Raw genomic sequence first — 14,521 nt, forward strand, 5'->3', positions numbered from 1 at the left:
ATAATAATAATTCGCTCACCAGAAGGACTCTGGAGCATTTGGGAATGTAAATCTTACCCTTCCTTTGTCAAGTGGGAAACTGACCAAAGAGGAAATGACCTGTTAGGCTCATTCTTAACGGCTGTTATATGCTCCCATATTTAGATGGAGGCCCCATCCTCAGAACACCATGATTTCGATATGAGAAGAGTCCTAGGCATCCACAACTCAGCCAGTAATATTCCTCATCTTTCCCTTCTTATGCTCCAGCCCCCAGGTACTGCCTTTTGGAGACAGCACAGGGGTTCCTTCTGATAAAAGCTAACTACCTAGGGAAGCTAAGGAAAGAAAAAAATGAGAGAGAAATGGCATCAAAATGGGAGGGCAACATCCTGGAATTAGTTCTTGTTTCTCCTCCCCACACCCATGATGGGAAAACCAACAATGACTCTGGAATCAAAGCTGGCTAAGGATTTCTTGCCTTAAAGCAAGGCACGTCATTATTTCATTTGTACAGTGAAAGAGGCTGGCAATGATCTCTAAAGCCCTTTCCAAGTACAGTGCTATGTGACTCCAAGATTCACATGGTGAGATTCCAGTAAGGGGACAGATTTCCCCTTGACAGGCAATATGTCTATTATTATTATTATTATACAAAAAGGGTCCATAATCCCTAATCTGAAATGCTTACAGTCAGATGTATTTCAGATTCAGAATTTTACAGCTTTTAGAAAAGTAATACAGTACATATGTCATATATACTGATGCAAGGTCCAGGGACAGCAGCCCATAAGCAAAACAATAATATTTCTGCATTACAAAGTACAAATATTCATAAGAAGTGGCCAAAGACTATAAATGGCCTTATGTCCAGTAAGTTTTGGGTTTTCAGAGCTTTTTGTATTCAGAATTGAAGACAAGGGATTGTGGACCTGCAGAGAGAATCTTACTAAGATTTCAGAAATCTTTATAATTTATTCAAGTACCTACTCCTAGCTGGTTCTTCCTGGAGATGAGAAGTAAAATCTTTTAAATATGTTTGTTTTTGAAGACACCTGAATGAGGAAAGGTGATGTAAAATAATTACAACAAATACATATATACATACTTACATACATACATACATAATCCTTCCCCTTGTAGTCTATTTCACAGCCATCCTGGGCTGCAAGGACTCAAAGATGGAAGAGTAAGCCATAGCAGGGGCATAAGTCCCAGAAGCCCACAGGGGGCAATATTAGCTACCAATTACTGAGTGCTTCTCTCCATACTGTGCATTCACCTTTAATCCTCACAACAACTAAGAAGGACATTATTACTCCCATTTCACAGAGGAAGAAACTAAGGCTCAGAGAGGTTAAGTAACTTTCCATAGTTATATCTGGGTAGGCAAAAAGTCTGATGCCCTGCACCTTTTACTATACCTTACTGTGTCTCTTAGAAAAAATAAAAAAAGGACATACAGTGAAGCAGCCCAGAGCTTACCTGACAGGTGGTTAACTGTATGACTTTATCTAAAAGAGCATCCCCATATCACTCATTTTCTGCTTTATTTTTCTTCATGCCACTTCTTGATGTTACATTATATATGACTACTTGTTTACTGTACACCACCCCTGCCAGAAACTAAACTCCAGGAGGGCAGGAACTCTGCTTTGCTCACTGCTGTTTCCCCTGCATCTGAAACTGTGCTGGCCCAAAGAAGATGTACATATATTTATATGGCGAATGAATGTAAGACCCTATGAAAGACTTGCTCAGCATGAAGGGGAATATAGAGCATATATGCACAGGATTTCTTGGTCAGCCCTGAGATCTCCGTGGCTGTCCCATTACCAGGGGTGCAAGGCTGCTGAACACCTGGGAGAAAAGTAACATGACACATGGGCACTCTGAGGTTCAAATTACGGTACCAATTTTTGTAACACTGTGAGAGGCCCTAAATCCAGGATAAAGCAAGACGAAGGGAAATTTAACACAACCTATTACAACTGTTGTTTGCCTTTCTTCCTCACAAACACTCCAGACATATCACACGTGCACATGCACACATACACACACACACACACACACACACACACACCCCTAACAAGGTAAATCCCCTTCCTGTGAACCGAACTTTATTCCCCCAAAATTCACGTGTTGAAGCCCTAACCTTTAGTACCTTACTGTATTTGGAAAGAAGGCCTTTAAAGGGGCAATTAAGGTTAAATGAGGTCATAAGGGTGGGGCCCTAATCCAATATGACTGGTGTCCTTAAAAGAAGAGACACCACGGATGCTCACGCACACAGAAAAGGCCATGTGAGGACACAGTGAAAAAAGCCATGTGAGGACACAGTGAGAAGGCGGCCATCTGCAAGCCAGAGAGAGGCCTCGGGAGAAACCAAACCTACTCACACCTTGATCTTGGCCTTCTAGCCTCTGGAACTGTGAGAAAATAAATTTCTGTTGTTTAAGCCTCTGTTGTGTGGTATTTTGTTATGGTAGCCCTAGCCGACCAACACACCCCCACAGTTTCAGATTATACAGCAGGAAAAACACACTACCAGTCCTCCAAACACAGCAGAAGGGTGTCAACAACCTATTAAACATATTTTACAACCTTTAATATTCGGCTTTGTCTGTACTGAAACAATATTTCTGTTTCCTCTGTCCACACAGACGCCAGTCTCCTGCCTGGAAAAAGCCAGAGACAGCACACATTCAATCCCCAACTCCACCCCCAGCTCCCGGGCCACCTCAAAGACGCCCAGCCAGCCAGACTACCGCAGGTCACGCCATGCTCTCCCTCCTGCCAAATTGCAGCCCCACATTCAACAATTGCCGCCTTGTACTGATCATTACTTCTTTAAAAATTGGACAACTAATACTGATTTTAACAGCAATACAGGTTATAATTTTGCTCTCCCCCAACACAAGAGCTGGAAGTCCTTCACTCGTGTATTTCACTCATGTGTATTTCCCCAACACCAGCACATGGGTAGGCACACAGATGCTCGTTCATTCATTCGTCAACGAGTATTTACTGGGGACCTACAATGTGCCAGACACCAAGAGAGGCACCGTGAACAAGACAGGCACAGCACCCACTCTTACCACACTTACTTTCCAGCCAGAGAGACTGACGTTAATAATAAATTATACACATCATTACAATTGTGATACGTGCTATGAAGAAGCACAAGACGCAGCGACTGCTTGTTCCCGTGCATGCTGGTCGGCCACCTGCCACGCTCCTGTGCATGAACCCTCCTCTCTCCCAGACACACATCAAGATGACCCTGTCTCTCCCAATGCTCCCGTCAAACCAACAGCAGCCCAACTCCCCCAACACATGCAAGAACCGGTCACAGCAGAGTGTCAGCAAATAGGCAGGGTCTGTGCCTTGTGCGCGGCCAAACACCGCAGGCCTCACATCTAAAGGATGCTTTCGCCAGGCTGGGACAGGGTCTCCCTCCTCCAGGCATCAGGAGTGTGGGGGGCACAGGTGGCCCCACGGAGCTCTGGGACCGGGCGATCCTCTCCACCGAGCCCTCCGCGCTGTCTTCCAGGCGCTATTCGGGCTGGAGGGCTCTCGCGGAACCAGACGCTCTGCCCCGAGGCAGGTTCTTCCCGCGGCGCCACAGCCCCTCCGGCCCTGACCCCGCCAGCCGGCAGGCCCCTAAGTCGACCGCGAAGACCCTTCCTTCCCCGCCCGCCCGCTCCTCCTCCGCTCCCCCTCCGCTCCCAGCCCAGGATCCTTCAACCCAGAGCCCGGCTCGGACCTCAGCCGCCCAGCCCCTGAACTGCCCACGCCGCGGCCAGCAGCTCCCACATCTCGGCGCCCCTCAGGGCCTGCACCGGCCCGGGGGCGGAGTCACGTACCCAGGCGAAGAGCGCGGCCGCCGCGGGGGCGGCCTCCGAGGCGCTGGGCTCGCGCTCCATGCGAGGACGCTCCGCCGGCGCTTCCGGGAGGGACGGCACGGGGGCGGCGCCTGCCGGGGGTAGGTGAGCGCCGGAGCCGGACCGGGGACGCGTGATGGGTAGGGCGCGGGGCGGGGTCTGTGGTGGGAAGCGGCCCGCAGGCCGGGAGAGAGGGTGCGGCCGGGCCCTCGGGCCACTGGGGATCAGTGGTGGGCGGGGCCGGACGACAGCCCCGGAGCCGCCTCCCAGTCAGCCCGCCCCGGCGGCGCTCGCAGCGTCTCCGCCCGCAGCCTCCTGTCTCGCTGGGCCTCTCAGCCTCTCGCTCCTACCCCCTCGTACTCTTTATTTTTAGTCATAATTTCATGTTTCATGCAGGTGCACTGCGCGCCACAGTTCACAAAGCTCCTTCGCGTTTTTGTCTCCTTGGAGGCCCACGACAGCCCAGAGGGGCTGACAGGGCAGCGATGGCATCACCATTTGCGGGAACAGGAAATGGAGCCTGAGGGGTAGGGCAGGGTCCTGCCCGGCGTCTCAGGCGCAATTGTCTTGAGCCCGCTTTGGTGTGCGTTCGCAAACATCTGAGGGGGCGCCTTGGGAGGCGAGTGGAGTGGCACGTCGCCGGTGTCGCCCTCTGCACCTGGCACGGAGCGGGAACCCGCGCCTCGCGACGCTGAATGGGGGAGGCTGGTTAGCGTCGACTCCTGCCGGGGCAGCCTCGGCGCTCCGGGCACGGCCCTGAGCTCATTCTATTAATAATACTGGATAATCGTCACCCAACGAACATTTCCATATAAAATGGCTTTTCTCAGACAGCGTCGTGTTGCTGATGGGAGTTAATTAAGTTCAATTTATCTGAAGGAAAATATGGCACCGCGTACCGGGAATACAGAACACATAGGGTCACATTAAAGATGATCATCCACATTCACATTCGGTAGCACTTGGCCCCTCTGCTGACACGGGCCTCCAGCACTCACTGCCCTTCACCCCTGGGCTTCTGGGAAGTGTCTCCAATGAGCTCTTACACTGTCCTTTCCTGTTCTTTCACTCCATCCACTTTTAGGAGTTTCTGCCTGTAAGACCACTTGAGGGCAGCCCCTCACCTTTATCTCTCCAACCTGTGGCATCTGGAGAACGTCGATGACCATACCAAGAAAAAAGCAAACTTTGGAGAGATAAAACAGCTCTTCATTCTCTAGGGATCTGAATGTGCAGGAGCTATACCATGCTTACTGACTGTCTTATGAGTGGGCTTTTTTGTGCTGACCATTTCTTTGAAGCATGTGTAACAGGATGTAAAAATGGGATCCTTCACCGCTCAGTTTTGGCTGAGCAACAAGTGCCAGTTACTCCTATATCATAAAGTAAGGTTCAAGACCACCAAAGCAGGTCTTGCAAAGCAACTGTCTAGAAACCAGTGTATGACTTTCAGTCTACGAAAAAGGTTGAGAGGCCAGAGAGAATTCTAGTAGGATATGTGGCCACAATTATCAATGTGGTGTGGGTCTCAACCCATCTCAGGTCTAAGGAAAGTTACTTTACCTGGGTCCCTGAGAGAGCTTGGTATGCATCCCTCTAGATTTAGGACCCAGACAGGCTTCTGTCCAATCCGTTCTGAGAAATACAAGGGCTTGTGGCTGGATATCTGCTCTAATAGCTGAGCAAAGACAAACTGATGCTTTGGGGAGGTCTTTCACACCCACAGTTTTTCAAAATAAAAACTGTCCATTTCCCATGTGAGTATTTCCCATACCTGAGCAAACTGGCTGGGGGATGGTCTTAGACCTTGTCCAAGAGAATTTCTGGAAGGGTGAAGTGACACCCACAGGACAGTCGATCACTAGATTCCTTGAGGGTGAGGGAAATGAATTTAACAGCCCAGAGAGATACATTTACCTACATCAAGAAATCCCAAGAAATAAGAAGGTGGGAAGGTCTTCCAAAATGCCCACAAGAAAATGTCAGCATGTAATATTTACAAAGTACAGAAAGCACTGATGACAATTCACAACAGTATCAGACCAAAAAGAACTTTTCTCCTCCTTACCTCTCCTCCCCTCTACATCTCCCCAACCCTGGAGGAGTCCCAGGCATCCACTGAGTAACAAGAGACAAGGAAATTAAGAAACTAAGCACACCCACTCCTTTCTCAGTTCTGGAGGAGGAAAAAAGCTTCAACCTTAAAGTTTGTTTTATCAAAGTTTTTCCACAGGACTAGCCTTTTTAAATATTGAAATGAGAAAGAGAGAGAGAGAGAGAGAGTGTGTGTGTGTGTGTGTGTGTGTGAGAGAGAGAGAGAGAGAGAGAGAGAGAGAGAGAGAGAGAGAGAGAAATGGAAATTAGGAGCTAAGGACTTTTTATTACCTGTGAGCAAGCAGAAAGTCAGGCAGCAACCTGAGATTTCATCCAGAAGGGCAAGGAAGAACTACCTACAGAGCCAGTTTTAATAGAGAGAAGGTCTGGGAGAATATAGTTGTTTTCTGACTCCACCCCTTGAATGTACAAGCATCAATATTTTAACTAACCTACAGTTATATTATCATGTCATATCCCTTAATACAATTTATTGGAAGTGTTGAGATGTTGCAACTATTTCAACTATGTACTCGCCACTGCCTAGTTCTTCCCATGAGCAGCCTGGCTGAATTGCAGTTCTTGAATGGGACTAGATTTAAACCATCTAATGGCTTCACTTTCAGATGGCTTATCTCCCCAAAAGAGGAAAGTATAAAGTATTTGAGAACATACAGATTGCATCTCTGTACCATGAAGGTTAGGAAATTTTTTCCCGTTGGATTATTTTTTGTGATCATCCCAATAATACTAGTATGATAAGTGCTGTTAGGATTATTATTTTATCTTATTTTGTTTTTTTGAGGCAGGGTCTCCCTCTGTTGCCCAGGCTGGAGTGCAGGTGGCATGATAATGGCTCACTGCAGCCTCTACCTCCTGGGCTCAAGTGATCCTCCTGCCTCAGCCTCCCAAGTAGCTAGGGCTACAGGTGTGAGCCACCTTGCCTGGCCAGGATCATTGTTTTATAGATGAGAAAACTGAGGCTCAAAGTAGTTATTTACTTCAAGGTCAGTTTTCTACTTTTGATAAAGGAAGATTAGCTAGCTGCATACCTATTCTCTCATAAAAAAACAACTAGAAAATTTGACAAAATATTTTTAAAATATATTTCAAGTTATTGGAGAGCTATCAAAGCAGGAAGAACTTGAAGGGCCAAGATCTGGAAGCTGAGAGATTATATTTGGCACTACTTTTCTGCTTGAAGCACTTGCTAATTACTAAGCAATGTCTTGGAGGCTAAGAAACTGGGCTGAAATCAACAACTAAGAAGCTGAGCAGTACCTTTAGCAATCTCATAGGGTAGGGATGGGAGGAGGGAATGGTGGACATGAAGGAGGGGACAAAAGTAGTAGTCCAGAGCCCCCAAGGAGAAGCCCTGGTACACACTCATAGTTTTCTCTTGAGATCCCTAAAGGGCTACACCCTAAAAGTCAAGGTGAACTGGAAATAGACCAGCCCTCACAAAGACTGAAGCTCAACTTCTCTTTGGCTCAATCCCTAATTGGACTCAGACTTTACCATGCCATTATATACTGCCTACTAGAAGCAAAAATTAATACCCTCTTGTGGAAGATAAAATCATCTAGAAGCTAAGGGGGAATATCTGTTAAGAGAGTGATTGTATTAGTAATTCTTTACATGTGGAAAATGAGTTTTTTTTTTTTACAAAGTCCTCTTGCAGCATAACTTCTCCAATAATCTAGTGTAGTAGACTTAGTTCATTTTACAGATGAGGAGTGTAAACCAAAAATAAAATTCTAAGGCCCCCCCCAACCATCTGAATGGACTTTCTTCTAGGCCAGGGCACTCTAAAATGTAACCCGAAACACTGATTCAGGCCATGACTGGAAGTGGGGTCACGCACATGCCTCCTTATACCTCTCCAGCATTAACATCAACACAGACCTTAAGTCTGATAAGAAAAATTGACAGTCTGTTCTCTTGGAAGCCTGCCATCTGGAGGCTTCATCTGCATGATAAAACTCTGGTCTCCACAAACTCATACAGCAACCCAGACATTCCTTTCTATGAATTGCCAATTAGAAAAATTTTAAAACTACCTATAATCTGGAAACCTCCCACCCAACACTTTGAATTATCCCAGCTTTCTGGACTGAGCCAGTGTATCTTATAAATGTATTTGACTGAAGTCTCATGTCTCCCTAAAATGTATAAAACCAAGCTGTACCCTGACTACCTTGGGCACATGTTCTCAGGGTCTCCTAAGGGCTGTGTCATGGGCCATGGTCACTCATATTTGGCTCTTCAAATACTTTACTGTGTTTGACTCTTTTCGTTGACAGGAACATAACACAGACTTTACGAAGAACTCTGAAAAGTGGTTACCAGGTTCCAGATATGTTTGGCTTCTATCTCATATCCATAGGCTTTTTAAGAAGTATAAAGATACAATGGATTTCCTAAACTAATAAAATTGCTAATGTAACTTTAAATAAATTTTTAACGTATGTTTGAAAAAAAGTAAACATTGGTTGAGAACATAAATTTTGTGTTCATTTATTATCCCACTGAATAACAAACTTGTAAATCATAAATATATATTACATAGTAAAACAAAGATTAGACCAAAATAGACCATAGTACCTTAAACACTTCCTATGAATTAACATATGGACTCTATCATATGTTCCTTTAGAGAATTCAGGATTTTTTTCTTTTTTGAATTTGGAAGCCAACTTAAAAGCTAACAATAATTATTTACATTTTGGTGTGTCATTACTACTTGTATAACTCCAAATGACAGAATATGTAGATAAAGAAATGTAGGTATTCTGAAGACCAGCTTTTGAGCATCCTTAAGAAGTCATGAAGATATTAACTATGTCTTTGAATAATGATTTACTGATTAAGAATTATTAACCGGCTGGGCATGGTGGCTCATGCTTGTAATCCCAGCACTTTGGGAGGCCGAGGCGGATGGATCACCTGCGGTCAGAAGTTCGAGACCAGCCTGGCCAACATGGCGAAACCCCATCTCTACTAAAAAAACAAAAATTAGCGGGGCATGGTGAAGCACGCCTGCAGTCCCAGGTTGCAGCGAGCTGAAATCACGCAACTGCGCTCCAGCCTGGGCAACAGAGTGAGACTCTGTCTCAAAAAAAAAAAAAAATTATAAACGAAGCTTTTAGTTCAATTCTGTTCTCACATTTGGGTAACTATTTACATATTCCTAGGTGCTTTGAAGACATATATTTAAAATGCATGAAAATTCTAAGACTCTCAGGACTCCTGATTTACCAAATATTACAAATACCCAGAGGTGAGAAGAACTGAAATCCATCATTAAAAATTTCCAATGTTTGGCCGGGTGCAGTGGCTCACGCCTGTAATCCCAGCACTTTGGGAGGCCGAGGTGGGCAGATCACAATGTCAGGAGATTGAAACCATCCTGGCTAACACGGTGAAACCTTGTCTCTACTAAAAATACAAAAAATGAGCCGGACGTGGTGGCGGGCGCCTGTAGTCCCAGCTACTCAGGAGACAGAGGCAGGAGAATGCCGTGAACCTGGGAGGTGGAGCTTGCAGTGAGCCAAGATCGCACCACTGCACTCCAGCCTGGGCGACAGAGCAAGACTCCGTCTCAAAAAAAAAAAAAAAAAAAAAAAAAAAAAAAAAAAAAAAAAAATTCCATTGTTCTGAAGTTGTGGATTATAAGGCTGTGCCTTTAACATTTATTCTCATGTGCTTTAGTCATAGAGTGATTTTAAACATCATCATTTTAAAATTCAATAAGTATGATTCTTCACCGTTATCAAAGTTGTATGAAAATAACCACATATAGTATGCATAATTTGTGTTATTTGCTATCTATTTTTTAATTTCCTTTTTCTACATGTTCTAAGATTTGCTTTTTTTAATTTCTTTTTTTCTACATGTTCTAAGATTTGCTATCTATTATGATTTGCTTACAGTAGATTTCCTTGCAACCAAACTATAAATCAGATAATCAATATTTCAAATGATTCTAGATTAGCTAGCATCTATTTACCATCAAATGTATACTTAAGAGTTGATTAGCTATTAAAATGTACAATGTAAAAATTTAAAACAGCATGAATTATTCTTCAAAATTCTATTTCCTTATATAATATGACATGAAATACAAAGTTTTTAATAATTTATTTTGAGGACTAAGAAGTGTTAAAAGATCTATTAGTCTGTTGAAATAAAACACATTAAATGGTATACAATTTATTTATGTGAAGAAAAAGCCTATTTTTAAGTAGCTGACTAAACCTAAAAATGATTGAAAATACGATGTTTAATATACCATTAATGGAAATTAAATTACTGGGAAAGGAAGCTGATGGACTGTGATATTCAAGTGATTCTGAGTTCCTTTATAGACCTGTTCAATTTGAGATGCTTGGCAGGGCTGTCATATTGAACAACCCCTATTCATTCTATGTGGATGATGCCACATGAAGTTGTACAGCATTGGCCTAAATTATGAGACATCTACATAGACATCCAGGAGTTCGTTGGAATTAAGGGGCAAAAAAATTCAAGAAAGATGTCAGGGTTATAACTGCAAATAGAGGAGTCATTCAAAATAAGAACTGAAGTCATGTATCTGGGTGACATTCCCCATGAAGAGATGGCAAAAAGAGTAGAAGTGCAAAGACAGAAACTTGAAGAACATCTTCATTTAGTGACTAGAGGGAGGAAAGGGGCAAATTAAAGAGACATAAGTTTGTATTTTGGAGTTCAGCTTCACCCATTTATAACAGGACTGCTTACTCCCTGTGCTACACAGCTGACTCTGCATAAAAACCATTCCTTGGCAATCCTTACATTACTTACAGTCTCAGTCCTAAACCACTCTTCTTGACCTTTCTGACATTCTATTTCCTCCCCTTTTCTGCAGCCTCTACTCTCATTGCATACCTTTCTGTTTATGGCCTCACCTTATACCTTAGAAATAAAGTACTCAGCACTGTTTTTTCTATCTTTTACTTTGTGCTTCTCTTATCTATCTCAGTTTGAACTCTTCCTTTGATAACAATGCTTCCTGTTAATCTGGGGACAATCCCATTATAATACCTAGGACCACATGTCTGAGTACAGCCCCATGCAAGTCGCATCTCTACTAAGTTTCCCTTGGACCCATGAGTAGGATAGATAGTCCAGAATAAAACCAGTATCGTGTGATGTCATTGAAAGAAAACAAAGTTTCAAGGAAGATAGTCACTTGGGAAGGGGCTCCCTAATGCCTAAAAAATAAAGTCTCGAATTTTTAGCCTAGTCTTAATGATTATGCCCCATTCAACCTTTCCAGGCTTAGCTACTCCCATTTCCCTACAAGATACTACACTTGAAACTAGACTACTTGCTCTTTACTAGGTATCCTCCATGTGCAAAGGCCTCTATACTTTTGCTCATGCTAGCAACAAAGACAGCAGGGTCTCCTGTTAAATTTTAGTGTGAATGTGATTGAGCTTGGCACAAATTCAGCAATAAGTAACAGATACTTTAGAAATAAGGGGATCTTAGGTAACAATATGAGTCAGCGCCATAATACTCCTCAAGTTATTCTAAGCGATCCTAAAGGGTCATTTTACTCAAGGAGGATTGGGGAAAATAGAGTTAGGCTGAGATTAGATCTATCTATTGGGTCAAACAACTTCTCTATTAAAAATGGGTGGTCAGTGGCTTGTATGGTATATAAATTGTCTCATTAAAGCTGCTACCAAAAAAAAAAAGAAATAAAACTAAACAAAAAAATAAGTGGTAAATAGAATATCCAGGTACAAATTTTCAAAGACTAGTGATTCCTTAAGTAGTGGAATTCGATAATATTGTTTGGCCAGAAGATGCTGTCCCTCCAGGATCAGGTGTTCAAGGAAAGCAAGAGATGGCCCAGACCTCCGAATTGATGCTCAAATGTTCCTGGATGACTGGCTACTGTTAGATACTCGGCTTCCTGCTGACCTTAGCAAGGGCATCACTGACAACATCGAGATCATGCTGCAGCTCATTCATGGCACTGGTTATGCTCTTGGTGTCTTTCAGGATCTGAATACTCCGTGTATATGGATTATACTTCACTCCAAATGGACGCTTAATTGTTTTGGTAAATTCTCTATTTAAGAAAACAAATAGGAGACAATCAATTTCTAGGGAGTGAATGATGAAAACTAAACAAACAACAGAATATATTTCACATACTAGGCAAAAAACAAATTCTTGTTAGATATGTGTACAACCAATCTGACCTACTTCTCTACACTACATTTGCAGAGGTCCCCTGGAATCCCACACAAGTGGGAAACCTGAAGTAGTTATAAAATAGTTATAAGTACTTTACATTATAAAGTAGTTGTAAATCCCTGGTATTACTAGGGAAAGATCCCATAGATGGATTTCTTAATCATTTATTACTGTATACATCTCTTGACTACAGTAAGGAGACCAACTACTGTAGTTTTATCAGTAGACGTAAAACTGTTTCATTACAACACTTAACCACATAGTAACAGATCCCTCAGTCATGCCTTATATAACTATACCTACTCACATATGTAACCTGTGTGTTTATATAACATATAACACACACACACACATACTCACACACCCCAAAATAGACTAGGAATGGTCCTACCTCCTGCACATGTTAGATTTTTTCTGCTTAGAATGTTTCCCTCTAGGCCCCTTTCAAATGACCTAAATTCTGCCCCTTTTTCAAGCATTAAAGTTCTGCCTCCTTTATCAAATCACTGTTTGAACCTCTCATTTGGCACCCCCAGGAACAATCATGTCCAGGACTCCTAGGGATAAATGTGAAGCTGAGGACAACTATACATCAGTAGCAGCTGAAATCCAACTCATAATCCACCTGGTCTACAGAGGGGACCCCCTTTTCTAAAAAGTTGACATTTATGCTAGAGGAATCCCTGCTAGTATTATTATTTGGTTTCATGAATGGCCTAACTCCCCAACTAATGGTTTCTCTGAAAGACAAGGACTATGACTTCAACCCCTATCGATCTCCATCATCACAATGTGACCTCATGACTGCTTCCACTAAATGTTGTCTCATTGATTCTCCTTCAAAAGTCTTTTCTTTTCCTACTACTTCTGTCTTAGTTCAGGCATTTATTTTCGCCTGAAGTGTTCCAAGAATCTTCTAAAAAGTTTCTCTGCCTCCAATATCCTCCTTTCTTAACCACACACTTAGCTGATTAATAAAGCGTAGCTTTGATTACATTGTACATATCTCCTATATTTCTCAACATCCTGACCTTTTTTCATGCTAACTCTCAGTCTAAAACTTAATATATCTAAATATTACCTATCCTTCAAGTCCTTTCTCAAATAACATTAAGGTTACCCTGTTTGTCCACCTGAAATGAATTGCTCTTGAATAAAATGCAGAACAATGTTTCATCTGTATCTCTCCAAGGCTCTTGTCATTTTCCATGTTGTTATACAGTAATTTGCATATCATCTATTTTCCCTATTAGACTACTAAACTCTCTGACTGGAAGAATTGGAAAGAAAACAATTTCTCAATGTATCTGATTCATATTTGCAACTATGCAAAATCCTTATATACAACATACTCTAGATACTTGTTATGAAAGGAAGATGTGTTACAGACAGAAGGCTCCTTGTGGGCTTCAAATTATCTAGCTGCTTACTTCTGTGACTTGTTACCATAATGGGGCTGATCTTTCCCTGAAGAAAATGAAGGCGTGAAGAAGATATACTGTACCTCATCTTCTCCTTTGCATCTTCAAAACTTTCAGATACAAAGTAGACATCTTGAAAAGTTGTGATAAGACATTCCTGTTTGCAGGTAATCTTGGGATCAAAGGGCTTTACTTTGGCATGTCCAGAAAGTGCATGCTAGAAGACAAAGAGTCAGTGAATCAAAGAATAATATCTATTTTTCATAGATCATGCAACTTCCATAATTGGCTCACCTCTAAACATATTACTAATGCAATGGCCCCAATCTACAATTCCAAACTTATTTCCTATAGCTCTATTCAACCCACAGTACACTCCAGCAAAAAAAATGGCTTGCCCTTCCCTGTAAATACCCCCAAGATCCTCTCCATGGCTTTGTTCTTCCTCTCTTCTTTGTGTAAAAGGCACCCAAGGATCTTTATTTATTTATTCCTGTATTATGGCACCTACTTTCTACCCAACACTAGTTATTCCTATGTATGACTTATATACCCACCATCAAGTGCTCCCTGAAAGCAAGACAGTACCTTGGATGGTGTTTCATACACATTCATTACTCAACAAACTTGAGTTTATTTATTCATTGAATAAATAATAAATCTCAAAGAATTCCCTAGAAATTATAGAAGTTATTGCTAGCATATCAGAAATGATGAGGAAACAGCAAGACTTTGTAAGCAAAGATTTTAAAACAGTTTTTACTTAAAATATACACATACCATTTCATATATATCAGAAATATATCAAAATATTTCATGTGTGTGTGTATTACTAATGCAATGGCTCCAACCTACAATTCCAAACTTATTTTCCACAGCTCTATTCAACCCACAGTATACTCCAGCAAAAGA

General features: G+C 42.4%; 2 protein-coding genes across 4 annotated transcripts in view, besides 5 other annotated features; both read right to left on the reverse strand.

The window, feature by feature from the left end:
- Positions 1 to 3,942, reverse strand: part of SERGEF (secretion regulating guanine nucleotide exchange factor) — a 225,000-nt gene extending 221,058 nt beyond the window's left edge. For all 3 annotated transcript variants that reach the window (NR_104041.2, NR_104040.2, NM_012139.4), the window contains exon 1: positions 3,846 to 3,942. Coding sequence is in view for 1 of the 3 variants with exons in the window: in NM_012139.4 (NP_036271.1) it covers positions 3,846 to 3,905 (60 nt within the window). In the remaining 2 variants the exon portion in view is untranslated. The remainder of the gene's footprint in view (positions 1 to 3,845) is intronic.
- Positions 1,199 to 1,258: a silencer, noted in NCBI's record as "silent region_3188". NCBI's record gives its function as "represses an Ori minimal core promoter by ATAC-STARR-seq in GM12878 lymphoblastoid cells {active_cell/tissue: GM12878}" and the evidence as "EXISTENCE:reporter gene assay evidence [ECO:0000049][PMID:35858748]".
- Positions 2,217 to 2,734: an enhancer, noted in NCBI's record as "H3K4me1 hESC enhancer chr11:18032869-18033386 (GRCh37/hg19 assembly coordinates)". NCBI's record gives its function as "activates a minimal SCP1, AML or CMV promoter by ChIP-STARR-seq in primed H9 embryonic stem cells {active_cell/tissue: H9 hESC(primed)}" and the evidence as "EXISTENCE:reporter gene assay evidence [ECO:0000049][PMID:30033119]".
- Positions 2,735 to 3,251: an enhancer, noted in NCBI's record as "H3K4me1 hESC enhancer chr11:18033387-18033903 (GRCh37/hg19 assembly coordinates)". NCBI's record gives its function as "activates a minimal SCP1, AML or CMV promoter by ChIP-STARR-seq in primed H9 embryonic stem cells {active_cell/tissue: H9 hESC(primed)}" and the evidence as "EXISTENCE:reporter gene assay evidence [ECO:0000049][PMID:30033119]".
- Positions 3,610 to 4,229: a silencer, noted in NCBI's record as "silent region_3189". NCBI's record gives its function as "represses an Ori minimal core promoter by ATAC-STARR-seq in GM12878 lymphoblastoid cells {active_cell/tissue: GM12878}" and the evidence as "EXISTENCE:reporter gene assay evidence [ECO:0000049][PMID:35858748]".
- Positions 4,610 to 4,659: an enhancer, noted in NCBI's record as "active region_4489". NCBI's record gives its function as "activates an Ori minimal core promoter by ATAC-STARR-seq in GM12878 lymphoblastoid cells {active_cell/tissue: GM12878}" and the evidence as "EXISTENCE:reporter gene assay evidence [ECO:0000049][PMID:35858748]".
- TPH1 (tryptophan hydroxylase 1) overlaps positions 8,450 to 14,521 on the reverse strand; it is a 28,715-nt gene continuing 22,643 nt past the window's right edge. Inside the window, exons 10-11 of the mRNA NM_004179.3 lie at positions 13,693 to 13,826; positions 8,450 to 12,060 (exon numbers count right to left, since the gene is read on the reverse strand). Coding sequence (NP_004170.1) covers positions 11,886 to 12,060; positions 13,693 to 13,826 — 309 coding nt within the window. The 3' untranslated portion in view covers positions 8,450 to 11,885. The remainder of the gene's footprint in view (positions 12,061 to 13,692; positions 13,827 to 14,521) is intronic.

This window comes from Homo sapiens, chromosome 11 (genome assembly GCF_000001405.40).
Source record: "Homo sapiens chromosome 11, GRCh38.p14 Primary Assembly".
Classification (NCBI taxonomy): Eukaryota; Metazoa; Chordata; class Mammalia; order Primates; family Hominidae; genus Homo; species Homo sapiens.